This window comes from Homo sapiens, chromosome 2, assembly GCF_000001405.40.
Source record: "Homo sapiens chromosome 2, GRCh38.p14 Primary Assembly".
Classification (NCBI taxonomy): Eukaryota; Metazoa; Chordata; class Mammalia; order Primates; family Hominidae; genus Homo; species Homo sapiens.
Window position 1 is genome coordinate 19,429,715 of NC_000002.12, and position 18,007 is coordinate 19,447,721.

The 18,007-nt window shown below is 41.0% G+C and overlaps 1 long non-coding RNA gene across 1 annotated transcript; it reads right to left on the minus strand.

Annotated features, from left to right (window-relative positions):
* Window positions 1–278: 278 nt before the first annotated feature.
* On the minus strand, window positions 279–6,793 carry LOC105373458 (uncharacterized). The gene is made up of 3 exons (XR_939778.2): window positions 6,506–6,793; window positions 5,962–6,159; window positions 279–1,973 (listed from the first exon to the last, which is right to left on the minus strand). It is a non-coding gene; the product is annotated as an uncharacterized LOC105373458 (long non-coding RNA).
* Window positions 6,794–18,007: the final 11,214 nt, after the last annotated feature.

Consider the following 18,007-nt stretch of genomic DNA (forward strand, 5'->3'; position numbering starts at 1 on the left):
CAAAGTCATGGTGAAGTCAAAACTTTTCCAGGTGCAAGGATTTATCTTCAGAGATGTGGGTGATCAAGGCCGGGAAAAACTGTGAGTTAGTGGGGGGCTACCTTCCAGCTAACAGATCTTAAAGCTCATCTCTGCCCACAGTGGAACCACGTGAGAAGCTTTATTAACACATCAGTGTTTGGGCCCCATCTCCCAGAGATTTTGACTTATTTATTTTAAGGTGGGGTATAAGAGTTGGTATTTTTTTAAAAAAACTACCCCATATTCTTCTACTGTGCAGCCCAGTTCCAAAACCACTGCCTTAAATAAATATTTCTTGAGCATTTAATATAAGTGAGTCTCTTGGTAACTGGAAAATTCAAAAGAACACAAGGCAAGAGGCTGTGTCTTCAAGAAGCAGAGAATGGTGGAATGTGGAGCAAAATATACACACCTAACTGGAACCTACAGGAGACTGTGGTAAGTGCTACATTAGAATTACACACAGTTTATAACCCGGGCCAAAGAGAGGGTAGAGTTTATTCTGAGTGGTAACAACTGGATATGGCTTCGCAGAGGAAATTGAATTTGAATTTGGTTTTGAAGGGATTGTAACAGACAAGGGAAAAAGAACATGTTAGGTAGAAAAAGCAAAAATGAACAAAAGCATGGAGGCAAGAAAGTTCAAGCATTTTGAAGGGATAAGTCAACATCATGTAGTTGCAGTATACAGGGAAGGAAGTTGGTAAGGTGGGCTGGAGCCAGATTTCAAATAACTTTGAACAGGATGCTAAAAATCTGCATCTTATGAGCAATGAAGAGTAACCTTATGATAGGTGTCTAAGAAAGACATCTCATTTAGAAGCTAACTGATATTTACACTAATGAAGGTGTTGCTAACTACATTTAGCCAGTGAAACATTTACTGAGCATTTCATTACTTTGTTGCAAGCTCCTGTGCTAGACACTATGAGGGACTAAAAAACATACTCAAGGCAGCAATTTTTCTCTAAATTCTTTTAATAAATAGATTGTTGAAACATACACTCTCATAATTCTATTATACAAAATGGAATTTTGTGGACTAAATAGCTGATTTACGTTGTTGCTCTTAATCGTTCTTGTTTTTTGAAAAAGCAGGCTATATGTGGTAAAAGTAGCTTACTGGAGCCACTTAAAACATTTGCCTAATGGCTACTTATATAAAACATGCATTAAAATACTCTGGGCTTGCAGGGAATACTTATGCCTTGAAGACCATTGTGAAGAAGGGCAACATTCCAGGACAAGCTTATTGCTCAAAAAGATTTCTGCAGTTCAGGCACCTTTCAGTGATGATAAATGTGATGCCTGGTCCCACGTGTGAGCATTTGTATGCAGGTGTTTTTTGGTCTGGTTTTCTTTTATTTGGAAAAGAAGGCACATTCTCTCCTCTTTTGCCATTAATATGAGCAATAACTCCACCCCTCTTGAAAAGGCACTGGATATTCAAATTGTTGACATCTCTTATGGTGAGATCTAAGAGCACCACGCAGCCTGAGCCTCGGACTACTAGTTGCTTGCAGTAACCTCAAGCAGGTCACTTTCCCTCCCTAAATTTCTTTATCTGGAAAGTAGGAAAAATAATAGTACCTGTGGCACAGAAACTGGGTAAGTTCAATGAAATAACAGTGCTAAAAAATTTGAGGTTTTATTACTGAAACAACATGCAGGGCTTTGTGGATGCTGGGGAAGGAGAAAGAAATGAGACCCGGGATCTGCTCTCCCTGGCAAGTCAGTCGCATAGGGCACCTGGGTTGCCTTGCCTCTTGCCTTTCTCAACCTTGTCTGTTTATATCTCCAATCTACAGCTTGGATCTGCTGAGTCCTGAGCTAAAGAGAATAAAACCTGGTGCAGAGTGAGGGTCCCCTTCTCAACAGCAAGTTTTGTCTGGACTTGGTCTTGACAGAGGCCTGGTGGGAGCTATGGCCTGGGCACCCATGTGGCCCTGGAGCTGCAGAAAATACAAGAGATACAGGTGACCTCTAGAAGCCAGAAAAGGTAAGGAAGAAAATTCTCATTGATATGATTTGGCTCTGTGTCCCCACCCAAATCTCATCTTGAAGCTCTCATAATTCCAAAAAGTTGTGGGAGGGACCTGGTGGGAGATGATTGAATCATGGGGGTGGGTGTTTCCCATGCTGTTCTCATGATAGTGAATGAATCTCACAAGATCTGATGGGTTTAAAAATGAGAATTTCTCTGCATAAGCTCTCTCTTTCCTGCTAGTGTTCACATAAGATGTAACTTGCTCCTCCTTGCCTCCCACCATGATTGTGTGGCCTCCCCAGGCATGTGGAACTGTGAGTTCACCATTAAACCTGTTTCCTTTATAAATTGCCCAGTCTTAGGTATGTCTTTATCAGCAGCATGGAAATGGACTAATACACTCACCTAGAGTCTCTAGAAAGGGCCGGTGCTACTGACACCATGACTTTAGCCCAGTGAGACTGGTTCCAGACTTCTCACTTCCAGAACCAGAAGAGAATTAATCTGTGTTGTTTTAAGCAACCAAGTTTGTGGTAATTTGTTATAGCAGTCATAGGAAACTAAGACAATAAAATTTGAGTAAAAGGTTCAAACCAGACTTTGACTGCTCAGTTGGGAAACTTTGTTTATATTATGTGGGCTATCCCTGGCTTCATTGTTAAGAGTGTAACAGAGATGGTTATGTTCCTGCTTCAACCTGAACAGGTCTCCTTTAATAAAGGCAATTGTATAATAACAACAATAATAATAATAGTAACTCTCCCTTGCAGAGACTCCTGCTGCCATACCATCTCTACATGTCACCATCTTCCTTTCCCAGAGAAACCCTTCCAATCTGGATGTCAGACTTGATGGGATCCAAGTTCGTCACACTCTTGATGGGCTGCTGGCTGCCTCTCAGTAGCCCCAGAGCGAGGAGGGTTGATTTATCCTTCCCCCAATCCACCTTGTGGCCAAGGCCAAGTCTATCGTAACTGCAACCTATTGTAACAATCAGTTCTTCTAGGCTTCATATCTGCACTCGTAGGAAAGTGACATGCCCCTGAAGTGAGTCTGAACTCATCTCAGACAGCCCCAGCCACTCTGGAAGAAAGCCACTGACAATTTGGAATAGCTGAGCTGAATAAGGCTTTGGGGAGGCCAAACAATGCTATCATCCCAGCTAGAAACATTCCTGGTACTTTGGCTAATTTCTAAGATGCAAACTAATTCAGTTCACTTTTAAGAAATGAAACCCTTGAGGCTGAAGCATCCTCACAGGAAAGACCCAAACCAAGTAGCCCATTACTTTTCTTACATACTTCAAAACACAATCTGATCTTAAGAGGATGCCAGTCTAACTTCGGAGAGAGAAGCATGGGTCTGCTGAAGGACCAAATAGGGATACTGTTAGAGATTTCAGATCAAGAGCTTCAGTTACTTGTACTCAATCTCCCCACTACTACTGCCTTTATCACACTTGGCTTTAAGAGCAAAAAAAAAGATCTAAGGTTAGAAAAATATTCATTTTACTTGAGTGCTTTTCGTTTTTCATGTTTAGTTTTAATTATATGTATAACAATATATATCATACATATTTACATATTTAGATATTATATATGTATAATACATGTCTATCATACATATATGCAAAACTTGTAACTATGTACAGTAAAAATAAAAGTCCCCTTAATTGTTCCTTATCCAAAGATCTCACTTCCCTCCTCTAGAACTAATCAAGTCAGTAACTAGACATGCCCTCTTTTATAGTTTTCCAAGTATCTGTATTGATATTGACATATATTATATGCATATTTTAGAATTAGTTTGTTTCTACATAAGTAGACTCACAATACATTTTTGGTGAGTTGCTTTTTTAAAAATAAACTTTTCATTTTATTTATTTAACTACTTTGGAAGAGTTTTATATTTACAGAAAAATTGTGAAGGTGATACAGAGACTTCCCATATACCCCATACCCAGTTTCTCCTACTATTCACATCTTACATTACTATGGTATATTGGTCATAATTAATAAACCAACACTGGTAAATTGTTATTACTAAAGGCCATACTGTATTCAGATGTCCTTAGTTTTGACTCCGTGTCCTTTTTCTGATCTAAGATCCCACCCAGGATACCATATCACATTTAATTGTCATGTGTCTTTTGGCTCCTGTTTATGTGACAGTTTCTCAGATTTTTCTTTTTTTATATTGACAGGTTTGGAAACACTGGACGGGTGTCTTGTAGAATGCCCTTGATAGAGTCTGGATGTTGTTCCCTCTAAATCTCCTGTTGCATTATAATCTCCAATATTGGAGGGGGAGCCTGGTGGGAGGTGATGGGATCATGGGAGTGAATTTTTCATGAATAGTTTAGTGGCATCCCCTTAGTACTGTCCTCACTATAGTGAATGAATTCTCAGAGATATGGTTTTATGAGTGTGTGGCATCTTCCCCCCTCACTCTCATGCCTCTGCTCTCACCATGTGACTTGCCTGCTCCCCCATCACCTTCTGTCATGAGTAAAAGCCCCTTGAGGCATCTCTGGAAGGCAAGAAGATGCTAGCACCATGCTTGTATAGTCTGCAGAATCATGAGCCAACTAAACCTCTTTTCTTCATAAATTACCCAGCCTCAGGTATTCCTTTGTAGCAACTCAAGAATGGCCTAACACAGCTCTTCTATTCGGATTTTTCTGATGTTTTTTTCTCATGATTAAACTGGGGTTATGGGTTATTGAGAGGGAGGCCACAGAGGTGAATTGCCAATTGTATCACATCATGTTAAGAATATGTACTAGAAATATGACTATCACTGTTGATGTTAATTTTTAATCACTTGGCTAAGGTGGTGTTTTTCATGTTTTCCACTGTAAAATTACTCCCCCACTCCTTTCAACACTGTGCTCTTTGGAGGAAGTTACTATTAATCACTTTTTAGCTCAGACCTCAGGAGTGAAGAGTTAGGCTCCCCTGCTTGAGGGCAGAATTTCTACATATATTATTTGGAATTCTGCATGGGAGATTTGCCTACTCTCCCTCACTTATTTTACTCAATCATTTATTTATATCAGTGGGAGCTCATAGATATTTATTTTATGGTTTGGATTAGAATTTAAAACTGCATTATTGCATTATTTATTGTGACTTGCTTTTTTTAAACTTGTCTGGGGAAATTTTTCCTTTCTTTTAAGTCATAGTTTCAAAACCATAGCCTTTATACTTATGTATTTGGAATGCTATTATTTTTAAATTAAACTGTTTCTATATGAACTATGGTGGAGAGATGTTTGTAATTGCAAAGAACAGAGCTGAGATTATCTCCATATTTCAAAAATTAATTTGGGTGACAGTAGTAAATGAGAGGCACTAATGAATGCTATTACTAGCAATGAATTGGAAATCTGGACAATCTGGTCAACCTGGAAAATTAGACATTCCCATAATTACCTTCTTTACCAAGTTCCCTCTATCTCACAAAGGTTCTTTGGTGGATTTTAACCAGAAAAGGGCACTCATTTCTCTCCCCTTGTGGCATTAATATAAGCATGAATTATACCCTCCTCCAAAGTATGCAGAGAATTTAAATTAATAACTCTTATTATAAGGAGAGGGGGCCTGTTACCTATATAGCGAAATCTGAGATGTTGGGTGGACTGAGTTCTAAGCTTTCAGGCTGGGTTTCAAGAAGAATCAGAGCAAATTCAGGTATTCAGTTCACCAAGAGTAAACAGAAATTGCTCCTTAATTTTCAGCAAACCACAGCAAAGGAAGCAATTTGTTCAAAGTTGGCGTGAAAAGATGAAAAGTAATAAAACTCTTAAGACATTGATTGCCACACCATCATCATATCAACATGTCAGCGAGGTCTCATGCTTTCTAATCAACACTTGCACAGCCCAATTGTCTTCCACCAGGCTTCACTTCACTCGGTCACTCATGAGCCCAGGATGGCTTCTCTCTGCTCACCTTCAGTAAGAGTTTCTCAGGAATCACTGCACTTTGCTGGTAAATCCACTTCCTCTCCTAGGATAGCCCCATGACAAGGAACCCACCTCAGTTCATTCACAAAGGCCAGCAGGAAGTTGGAACAACTCGGGTAACTGCTTCTTCTTGACTGCAGCCTTTTGACCCACCTTACTGAAATCCCCAACTTCTGGAGTCAAACTGTGAAAGAAATGTACATAGCTACTTCTTCATCTCCTTACAATAACTGAAGGAAATCAAGCCCCTAGATGTAAGTCTATGCTTTGTCTCCTGACAGACAAGCTTCTTCTGCCATCTGTTTCTAATTGTCTTTCTGATCTTATCTTCCCAAGCAGGCTCCCAAGAGCTCTCTGCTGTTGCTGGCCTCCTCCCTATTTCCTCCCTTTTGCCTTGTAAATTCTTGCTCCAAGTGTTTTCTAACCTGTTTCTACCACTGAGGATGCTCTATTCTCCTCTTCCCCGACAAGCACCATTTCTAACTTCAGAGTACAACTCAAAAGTTACCTGCTCTGTGGCTCCTCCTTACCTCCAATCCCAGAAATTTCCCCTTTCCTGCCCACGTTGTACATCTTCTCTTCTGCGAGCATTGTCTATTCTTCCCCTGAGGTCAGAAATTGGGTCAGGTATACCCTTTGAATTCCGCAATGCTCTGACAATCAGAAATTGTTTCCTGATTGACATGAACATGAGATATGTTGGTCAACCCTGAATATTGTCCTGTAAGGGAAATAGCGGTTGATGTTTTCAACTATTTTAAACATAGAAAGCCAACATGTGGATGAAAAGGTTTGTTGAAAGTCGAATAGATGCTCATCTCCACTCCTTCCTGCAGCAGCATTAAAATATAATAATATAAAATATATAAACACATAATGACAAAGAAAATGAAAGCAGTATTACAGCAGACAAGAGATGGTCAACAAAATTTAGGGAATAGAAAGTAGATAAATGAGTGGTTACTAAAATCCAACTGCCAGTTCGGGAACTGTGGAACCCATGAATGCCAATTGTTACCCAGTACAACCCAGTTGTGTGTCTCAACACCCTCCAGTCTCAGAGATGAGAGGGTGTTGTGTATCTCAAGGCTGGTGTGGGATGAGCCTGAAAACAGGAGGACTGCTTGACAATTATGTAAGAAGTAGACCCCAGACCCTCCCCTAGCCCACAGTCAAGCAATTGCCTTTGGTCCATTAGGACACAAACAGGTTTACTCTCCAGAGGGACTGGGGGACACCAGGCTCAGCTGAAGGCAGGGGTGAGGCACTAAAAGAAAAAGAAGGTGGCATAGATAAACATATATGCACATGAAACAGTGAAAGCCACCATCTTTCCCTGTTCAGCAGCCAGAACACCAGGAGCCAGACTTGTATTCCTCAGGCAGGGGATTGGAGAATTAGAACTCTTCTCAGGGGAATCTGATCTTCCCCAAGGGAAGAAAAATCTTAGGTTGGGAACCCAGTGAAATATCTAGGTCCTCATCCAACAACCCCAAGGCAAACCCACCACTGACAAACCCTCCTCCCCCTTAGTATCACAGCTAGTAAATGTATACACAGGTTCAAATCAGATTTTTAGGGTTTGAACTTAAGAATGAGTCTGTGCCATTTACTTGCACTAAGACATTTCTACTAAGTTTCTGTTATGAGTTCAAATAAGCAAACAAAAAAACTAAAGCAAAAAAGGAAAAAAAATAACCCGGGGGAGCAGAAGCATTTGAGAAATCAGAAAAAAAAAAAAAGGAAAACAATTAAATCTCAGCTGTAAGAAAAGATATTGAATCTGTACAAAAAGAGTGCTATTAACAAAATAACAGCAAACAAGAAAAACTCTTACAACTAAAAATATTATAGCACTTAAAAACATCATTTAAAACTTTAATAGAATGAATAGACGATTAAACTTAAGAGAAGCTCCTGGAAAGCATAACAAAAAAGCTGATGAGAAGACATTGAAAAAATAAGTTAGAGAATTAAAGAATAAATCCATGAAGATCAACATCCAACTGATGAGATCATCTGAAAGAACAATCAGAGAAAGAAACTGTAAAAAATAATTGAAGAAAATATTATTGAGCCAAGGGATATGGCTTTCCAGATTGAAGAGGAAGTATTGCATACCCAGCATGTTAAATTAAAAAAAGACCCATCAAGGCATATCATCATAAAATGTAGGATAAAGAGAAATCCCTAAAAGTTTCTAGAGAAAAAAAATAGTTCCATACAAAGAATTAGGAAAGAAGAATGGTCTTATACCTCTCAAAAAGTAGCTTTAAGAGCTAAATGACAATGGAGAAATGCCTTAAAATTAGAACAAAAAATTGGATGCAATCTATAAATCTATACTCAAACTGCAAGCCAATGTGAGAGTAGAACAAAAATATTTTAAAACATGTTAGGTCTTCAAAACTTTTTCTTCCTGGTTTCTTAGGGACGTACTGGAAGATACATTCCCCAATATGAGAGTCTAAACTAGGAAAGAGAAAGACATGAGATTCAGGAGACCAGGGACGCAACTTAGGAGACCAATGAAGGGAATTCCCAGGATGATAATGAAGATAAATCCTAGGATAACAGCTATGCCTCAGGCCTACAGCATAAACAATCTTGACTGGCATAGGAAGAACAGGACAGATGGCTCCAGGAGGAATAACTCTAAGAAAAAACAAAATCTGAAAGATTGCCTGAAGTATCTGTTCATATTGAGAAGTGCTTTATAGCTCTGTTAGAAAAGCTGCAGAAGAACTAGCATTAGCTGTACAGATGACAACACGAAACAAAGGAAGGAATTACTGGCTACAAAAATGTAGAAAAAGATAATGAGTAATATCATATTGCATGGCCCATCTTTGAATAATATTTACCTGATTATATAATGCAAGACACTGAATACTGATTTAACTAAAAATGGTGCTGTTGTTTTAAAAGGCAAGTGGGGAGATGACATGTGTGTGTGTTTAGGGAAGAGGCAGAGGGATGGCATAGAGAACTAAATCTTCATCTTCCATTGAACAAAGTAAATAAATAATATCCAAAATTGAAAAAAAAACCAAGAAAAAAGACAGTAAATGTGATCTTTGGAAATATGGAAATAAATGCCAGAAGAAACGACAGTAAGGATTATAAGTGGCTACTTCTGGAAAACAAAAGTTAGGGCTGGAGATGGGTGGAACAAGGAGCTGCTATTTGTTATTATAAGACTGAGAATGTTATTTGGCTTTTGCTTTTCAGAGACGCAGTATGCTATGGTGCTGACAAGCCCAGACCTGGACCTAACTGCCTGGGTTTAGATTTCAGTTCTGACACTTGGGCAAGGTAGCTAATCTCTCCATATCTTGATTCCCGGCTTTCAAATGGTAATAATAATAATAATGCCTGCCATGTGGGGTTGTTGTAAGGCTTGAATCGGTTAATACAGCACTTGAAAGAGGGATACTTAGAGTTGTATAACCATTTGCTATTATTCTTATTATGAAATGACATATTACTTAAAAATTAAAATAGAAAAAATTAAGGAGTAAGCTAATTTTGCTTTGAACTCTATTCCTGAAGACTCATTCCTTGCTTCCTCTAAAGTAATAGTCAGCATTTTATCTACTCACTTCAATTTTGCCTTAAATGTACCAACTTTTGTCCCTTTCCTCAGCTACAGAAAACGTCAGTGACACAGGAACTACAGAGAAGGCTGAGGACTGCAGCTGTCACCCACACCACTGAATGGGTGCCTAAGGAACACTCTACAGGGTCATGTAAGCCTGCTGCTGTCTGGAGAACATGGCATCAGCCTAGAATGCACCAAGCCTGACTTTGAGCATGTACTTTTCAAGGCAACACATTGTAAATCAGCCTAGATCACTGTGGTCATCTTGAAAGGTCTTGCTATCCTGCCAAAATCCCAGACAAACCTGCGCATGTTTAAAAAGCGAATGGCAGACGCACACAAACACATGGTAGGAATCAATTCTTTACTAGCCTTTCAAGGACAAAAGAGGACCCTCACCTTCTGGGCCCTGTGCCTTTTGCAGACCATGATCTTATGGTATCATCACACTGTGGAAAAGCCAGAAGGTTGCTGCTGTACTTTGCTCTCCAGCACTACTCCGTTTTTATCAGTGACAGCTCATCTTCATATTAGCACCCACACAAGAAGGCACACAGTGGTGACCTGAGACCTTGCAGTGGCCACTCCCACTGCCCCACAGCAAAGCACACACATAGACCCAGGTGGAACCCAAGTGCCTTTCCTATGGAACAGAGAGAATGAGCATTTGCTCATAGCCCTGACACCTCACTCTGAGACCTTGCATAAGTATTTTCAGTTCTTCAGGCCTCAGTCAGATCCACTGGAAAATCTCACATTTGCACTGCCTTGAAGGATTACCACCCTTATTTCCCTTAGGGTGAACAAGGCTAAGGAAGTGAAGGGATTTGTACAAGATAACAACTGAATTAGAATTGGGACTGGAACCCCAGTCTACTGAGCCCCAGACACTGTTCTTTCCATGGTACTTTGTCACTGCCAGATGCCTAAATTACCATCTCCTGATAATCTCCCTTTTCCACTTAAAAATTTAGGACAGTGCCCAGCAGTCCACAAAAAGATGCTATCATTCTTTTACAATAAGTCCTTTCTAAGGCTTTGCAACTGGATTTGACCTTACCAAGAGAGTAAACTCTAAATCAGTTTAAACAGACCTTTATTTGCATATAGATAGTCAAATGGCATATATGCCAGCAAGTTCTCATGCAAAGTCAAAGACTTACCCTGCCGTAGAGGATCCCAGAGCCCTGCAGAAAGGGAGCTTCTTCTGAAGAAGAAATCAAGGTGGAGAGCCAACTGCTCCTCTCCCGCCTCTCATCCCCTGCCCACACCCACCCAAAGGCCAGTCTCTACCAAGCTGTTTGGCAACTCTGTTCAAGACAGCTTAAGGTCCAGGAGTGGATTGGGAACAGCGAATGCACTGGCAATCATTTTCCTTTCCCTTGAGCCCAGACTTCAGTGGGCGTACAATGTGGCATTTTGCTTCTGATTTCAACCACTTCAACAATTTAGCAGGAGAAAAATAAGAACCTGTGCCAGCCCAGGAGCAGCCAGCCCCCAAACCCCCTGCCTCCCTGGCATGGAGAAACCCTTGGTTACCTAGGCCAACTCCCCACCCCAAGACCTAGGGGGCAGGCCACAAATCACCTGTAGGACAACAAAGGAAGGTTTATCCTATGTTGAGCCCCAAAGCAAGCAGATGGGCCTCCATTCCTGGGGAAGGCAACCTAAGATATTTATGGATGGACAAGCCATTTTACTTTAAAGCCACTCACAGCAATTATTTGAAATTAACATTTATTTGCTCTGGTATGGGTGTGTATTAGTCCGTTCTCACATGCTATAAAGAACTACCTGAGACTGGGTAATTTATGGAGAAAAGAGGTTTCATTGACTCACAGTTCCATAGGCTGTACAGGAAGCACGGCTGGGAGGCCTCAGGAAACTTACAATCTTACAAATGGCGGAAACTTACAAATGGTGGAAAGTGAAGGGGAAGCAAGCACGTCTTTACATGTTGGAGCAGGAGAGAGAGAGAGCAAAGGGAGCAGTATCACACACTTTTAAACAACCAGATCTTATGAGAACTCACTCACTGTCATGAGGACAGCAAGGGGGAAATCCTCCTCCATGATCCAATCACCTCCTCCCAGGCCCCTCTTCCAACACTGAAGATCACAAAACAACATGAGATTTGGGTGGGGACACAGAGCCAAACCATATCACTATGTAGTTGCTAGAGATGTGAAGTCTAGAACATAAGAAAAGGAACATCGGGGCACATTTTCTTCATTTTTTTGTTTTCCCCTGCTTTTCTGGTCTTGCTTCCCTCAATCATCCTTCATGTAACTGACAAATAATATAAAACACTATCTCAATGTGTCATTCCTTACAGAGAGTTGTCCACAGCTCCTCAAATCTTCAGCATAAAGTCCCCCATGAGGTTGCCTTCGATGACAATACCAGCTTCTTTCTTGCTGCTCCCTCATCCCACCCTCTGCCTCAGTCACTAAATATCCTTCCATGAAAGATCCACTGGGTTCTTAAAATTTCTTCTATCAAGATACATTTTTCAAAAAAGTTTGTCTTTCTGACTAGATGATGAGCACTGTATTGGGGACAGCAACTTCCATCTCTGTGTCTCCACACCCAGCACCTTGTGAGTAGAACATGCTCAGTAAATGTGTGTTGATTTCATTACTCACAAGGGCAGGAAATATGCCATATTCCTTTTTTGATCCTCTAGGTAATAAGTTCTCAAAAGTAGTTTGTGAATAAGGGAATAAATCATAAAACGTTATGTCCCCAACTGAAAGAATTTGTGCTTTGTCCTCAGACATATGCACATCCAAAGACAATAATGCCAATATGGGCCTTGTCTTTAAAGAATTCATTGTGCCCTGCAGTTCCCAGGCAGCTGCCTGCCACCTGCTACTTGTGTTCCATCCCTTCAGGCCTGAGGCACTGCTGCCTCCTCTTCCATTTTTGACTTCAGGCTGTTACACACTGCCCTGCAAGCTTCCTCCACTCCTAGTGGCACTGAAGCAGGAATGAGCTCCCGTTTGGAGATGCTGGCTTTACAGACAGGAGCCACTGGGAAAGCTCGCTTATGTTTTCAGCTGGGTAGCTATAGCTCTAACCCATGGATGACACAGGCCTCTGGAAGGCCTCCACATTTCTCACACACTTCTATGAGAACAAGCCCTCATTATTGTCTCATCAAAGTAGCCCCAGCAGTGGTGGGGCAGAGGGTGGGGAAGTGGGAACATATAAAATAAGGTATGAAGGTGGAGGTTAAAAAGGATAGCCACTTTACTTTCATATTTTAATTCTGCCTCCCCCAGCCCAGAACATTCACTTTGCAATAGATGCAATGGGCTGACGTGTGTGTATGAAACTTAGTGAGGCTCACTGGCATTTCCCTAAAATTATCAATAATTGTCTCCCAGGAAGCAGTGGACTTTAGCCAGGATGTGACATGGCCTCCAAAGTTTGCTATCAGTCATTTCCATGGAAGCCTGCATTTATCAAAGGGCCACCGGCACACCCAATAGACACATCCTGGCAGGTTTGTAAATTGCTATGACATATAAAGGCAGGTCTGGCTTGAATTCCCAGGCTCTAGCTCCTCTGTGGAGCTCTGGTCACACTCACAACACAAACCATCTGGAGCCTCACTCTGGCACTGTGTTATTTACTCACAGTCCAGGTGGAATTAGAGCCATAATTCACCACCGTCTGCCCCTCTTCTCTGTGGACAGCACCATACCTCATCTCAGCACTTGCTCCCTTGCCATCCATCAGCCATTCCAATTTGGGAATCACTTGCCAAAGTGGATGTTTTTCTTTGGAGTTTATTGTTATAAATTAACGTTTTAAATTTTGGGACCAGTCCATCATTTTGGGAGACGTTTTGCCTTTTTTCCCTTATTCTCACCTGTCTCAGACTCAGCAAGTGTGAGACACTCACTTATGCTGCTCCAGTTTTCCCTTCCTCACTTCATAAAGAATTCTGTAACCAACAGACCATATGCCCCAACCCCTTTTGCTTCTCTGGGATGTCATCACCAAACAAACAAACAAATAAACCAAAAATGAAAAACTCTTACCAGCTCAAGTTCCTCAATGAAGAAAGCCACTGCTGGTCAGTTAACCTTGAGCACATTACCAAATCTCTCTGTGCCTCAGGTCCCTCAGGATGAGGCAGAATAAAGCTAAGTCTTGACAATTGTACTGGGCAGTACTAGGCCACAGTGAAGGAAGGACTGGCCTTCTGTTTGTGCAAAAGTCAGCATAGAGAGAAAGGGAGCAGGCCGTATCTGAGAACTGGAAGATCATAAGGAGTTTGCTGTGGCTGAAATCTAGAGCACAGGTGGCGGAGTGGAAAAAGATGAAACAGAAGAGGTGTGGGGGAGTCAGATGATGAAATCCCTTGAATACTTTCTAAAGAAGTTTGGATATGTTCTTCAAAGTGATATTCCTATCAGTCATTTAAGGTTATAAGAAAAAGAATCATCGGTTTAGAATTTAGTTTTAGAGATATCATTGTCAGAAATGTGGAGATTGGATTGAAGAAGAGATACAGAAGTAAAGGGCAAAGGCTCCAAAAACAAAAGTAAAGACTCCATTTACGGACTACGGCAGCTGGGCAGGTGAAGGTGAATGGTTGCCTGAACAAAGGTAGTAACGAGACCCAGAAGAGAGGACAGATTTAAGAGGTTTTTAGTGTGGTCATGGGGAGTGAGGAAAATGAATGGCTCGAATAAACTTTCCAGTTTACTTGAAACTTGGACAACTGGATGAACAGCAATGCCACTCACCAACGCAGGGAATATAGGAAGTTTTTCAGGGAAGGGGGATGAGGAAAAGAAATTTGGTTTGAGGCTATTTTGAGTAAGTGCCTGTGGAGCACTCAAGAGAGGTTTTAAGTAGTGTCTTAGTATGCTTTGTGCTGCTATAACAGAATACCACAGACTGGGTACTGTATAATAAACAGACATTTATTGGCTCTCAATTCTGAAAGCCAGGAAGTTCAATATCAAGGTGCCGGTGAGGGACTTGCTGTGACATCACATGACGGAAAGGCAAAGATAAGGCGATGGAGATGCTAAAGAGCTATTTTATCGGAAACCCACTCCTGTGATAACAGCATTGATCCATTAAAGGGAGATGAACCCTCATGGCCTACTCACCTCGTAAGGGTCCCATTCCTGAATATTGTTACAATGGCAATTAAATTTTAACATGAGTTTGGGAGGAGACAGGCATTCAAATCATAGCAAGTAGGCAAGAGAATTTTCAGGGAAAAGTCTGAACTGGAAAAATGGAGTTCAGAGTCATTGGTGTGTACAATGTGCAGAACTTGAAGACACAGTAAGATGAGATCATCCAGAGGGCATGTGTGGGATGAGAGGAAAGGTCTGCAGTTGAGACCCTGGGCAATCACTAACTAAAGGTGGACAGAGTTTAAAGAACAAAATGGCCACTGTGTCAACAGCATCACAGACAGGAGTCTGGTAGGGCAGAAACAGGAATGAAGTGGGCTGGGGAATGAACTGGTAGAGAAAGCAAATGAGGACAGTGAATGTGTCTCTCAGGAGGCTCAACTATGAAAGCAGAGACACATGGCCAAGGGAGATTGTTGGTTGGCTTGTGGGCTATTGTTGTATTTTTTAATAGCCTTTTATTTAGGAATAATTTTAGATTTACAGAGAAGTTGCCTAGACAGTGGTTATTCACATTGTTAACATCTCTCATTACCACAATACATTATCAAAACTAAGAAACCAACATGGTACAGTATTAACAGGATTCCATGATTTATTTCACTTTCACCAGCTTTTTATCAAAGGTGTTTTTTTCAGTTCTAAGATCCAAACCAGAGTACCACATTGCATTTAGTTGTCGTATTTCCGCAATATCCTCTGGTCCATATTTGATTTTTATAACCTCAATAGGCTGGAGGAGCACTGACCAGGCAGCCTCCGGAATGTCTTCTACTCTGAGTTTTACTCATGTTGAGACTGGTGTTATGGGTTTTGGGGAAAGAATGCTATAGAAATGTCCTTCTCATCACATCATATCAGTAAAGATGATACCCACATGACAACATTGACAATGTTAACTTCAATCCCTTGGCTAAGTTCTCCACTGTAAAGTCACTCCTTTTTCCTTACCCTACTCTCTGCTCTTTGAAAGTGACTCACTAAGTCTAGCCCACACCCAGGTATGAGAGTGGGGGTGAGGGTGGGAATTAGGCTTCACCTTTTGTTTTGTTTTTAAGGTGACAATCATATTCTCAATTCAGCCTGTAGTCTTCATTGTCTCCTTTATCTTAAAATTGCAACATTTGGAATCTCCAACACAGTAGAATACTTGATCATACGAGATTTGATTTTGTTTATGTTATTTCACAAGTATTATTCAGGGCTCTAGGCAAAACAGCTCAATAAACAGCCTAGTGCTCACACTATACTCCTTCCTTTTTTCAACTGTTTTTGTTGTCATGTCCTATCATTTTACCAACTACATATCTCTTAAATTCAGTCATAGGTGATCACCGATAAAAGCTCTGCCAGATCAACTGACTCCTAAATTCCTTATCTTGTCTTCCTGGTAGAACCCCAACCTTGTCCTTGACTCCTAATATATACAAAAGAACAGCAATGGAAATATGACTCCCTGAACGTGTTCTCTGATATGGTCTGGTTGTGTCCTCACCCAAATCTCATCTTGAATTGTAGCTCCTATAATTCCCATGTGTTGTGGGAGGGACCTGGTGGGAGATAATTGAGTCATAGGGCAGTATCCCGCATACTGTTCTCATGGTAGTGAGTAAGTCTCACAAGATCTGATGATTTTATAAGGGGTTTCCCTTTTCACTTGGCTCTCATTCTCTTTTGTCTGCCACCATGTAAGATGTGCCTTTTGCCATCTGCCATGAGTGTGAGGCCTCCAGCCACATGGAGCTGTGAGTCCATTAAACCTCTTTTTCTTTAAAAATTACCCAGTCTCAGGTATGTCTTTATCAGCAGTGTAAGAATGGACTAATTCATTCTCTGTACCAATGGCCAGACTATAGTGTGTTAAACAGGATACGGAGTGAAGGCACAATGCAGCATGTGAACCTAAACTTTCCTTCCTCAATTGCTCTTCAATCCTTGGGCCCAGAAGCCTCTGTTTTGGCTTCAAAGTTTAGAGCTATTACTGAAGAAACAGCTCATAAAATGTCCCATTCCTGACATTTTTCACAGAAAATCCCCAGAAATATGTGTTTGAACAAGAATCCTCTCTTTTCCCCATGACTATGCTTGCAGGGCGGCTGGGAGGTCAGGAAAAGACAAGCAGGAGAACTGGTTCCAGAATCTGTTCTGCCACTAACCTACTTTGGGAACCAGGTTAAACATTCCAACTTCCATACCTCAAGTACGGCATTGGTAAAATGAAGGGTTTGAGCTGGCTGATCTTAGCTCATTCAATTCAGTCCACCAGCTGCCTTATTAAGTGGCTACCTCTTGATTCCATTTCTGAGGTTTCTCTGTTACAGTCATAGAACATTGTGATTGGCTTTGGGAATGTTGTGGGGGAAGCCATATCCCAGGAGAGTCACCTGGAAAAGAAATTAGGGCTGCACAGGTTACATTCCAACTTGGTGAATTGCATGAGATTAATGTGAGGAATCCCAGAGGAAAGAAGGGGCTCCTAACCTCTTGAGAGACACTGCATGCTTCTTCCCAGAGGGCAAGAGACTTGGCAGCCCTCAGTTGCCTTTAGCCTTATCCTATCAAGTGGGGTTAGCTTGTGTTGAGCTCACATGACAGACGGCTCTTTGGGCCTCCAGAGTGCACCCCAACCATCATCAGATTGTCAAACTGCAAACAAAAGCCATTCATTGCCCTCACCTCCTCTCTTGAATTCTTCCTAGCTTTGTAACCTATAAAGCAGAAGATAAGCCATAACCATCAGAGGGTCTGCAATCTCCTGCCTATATATGTGAACATTATTTTTCTGAACCTCAAAGATCAATGCATATGATTAAAGAATATTTTGCTATTCCTGACTGCATAGACAGTACAGTAAATGTAGTTTCATTACTATTATTATTATTTCTACATTACTTCAGGGGTTTCTGATCTCTTCTAAGAGTTATCAAATAGAGTCAAAATGAGATTGTCTTAGAAAGTTTGGATGAAGGGCTGCCTTGCACATATTTACTCTTCTCCTCTTTCCTCTTACTGTTACAGGATCACTCCTGCAAAGAGCTAAAACACCTATAAGGTGAAAGAAGAAAAGAGAAATGAGAACATCTGGCCAAACTTGCTTTCAGGTCGAGGAGATAGCCAGCACAGTAGGATGAGAGGGACCTGGGATCGGACTTCCACCTCAAGTTTTACATCTGCTGATATCTAAAATCCAACCATTAGAAATTCATTACTTCAACAGAATTTTTTATTCATAATTAAACAAAAGCCCTCAGAATGTCTAGACCCAA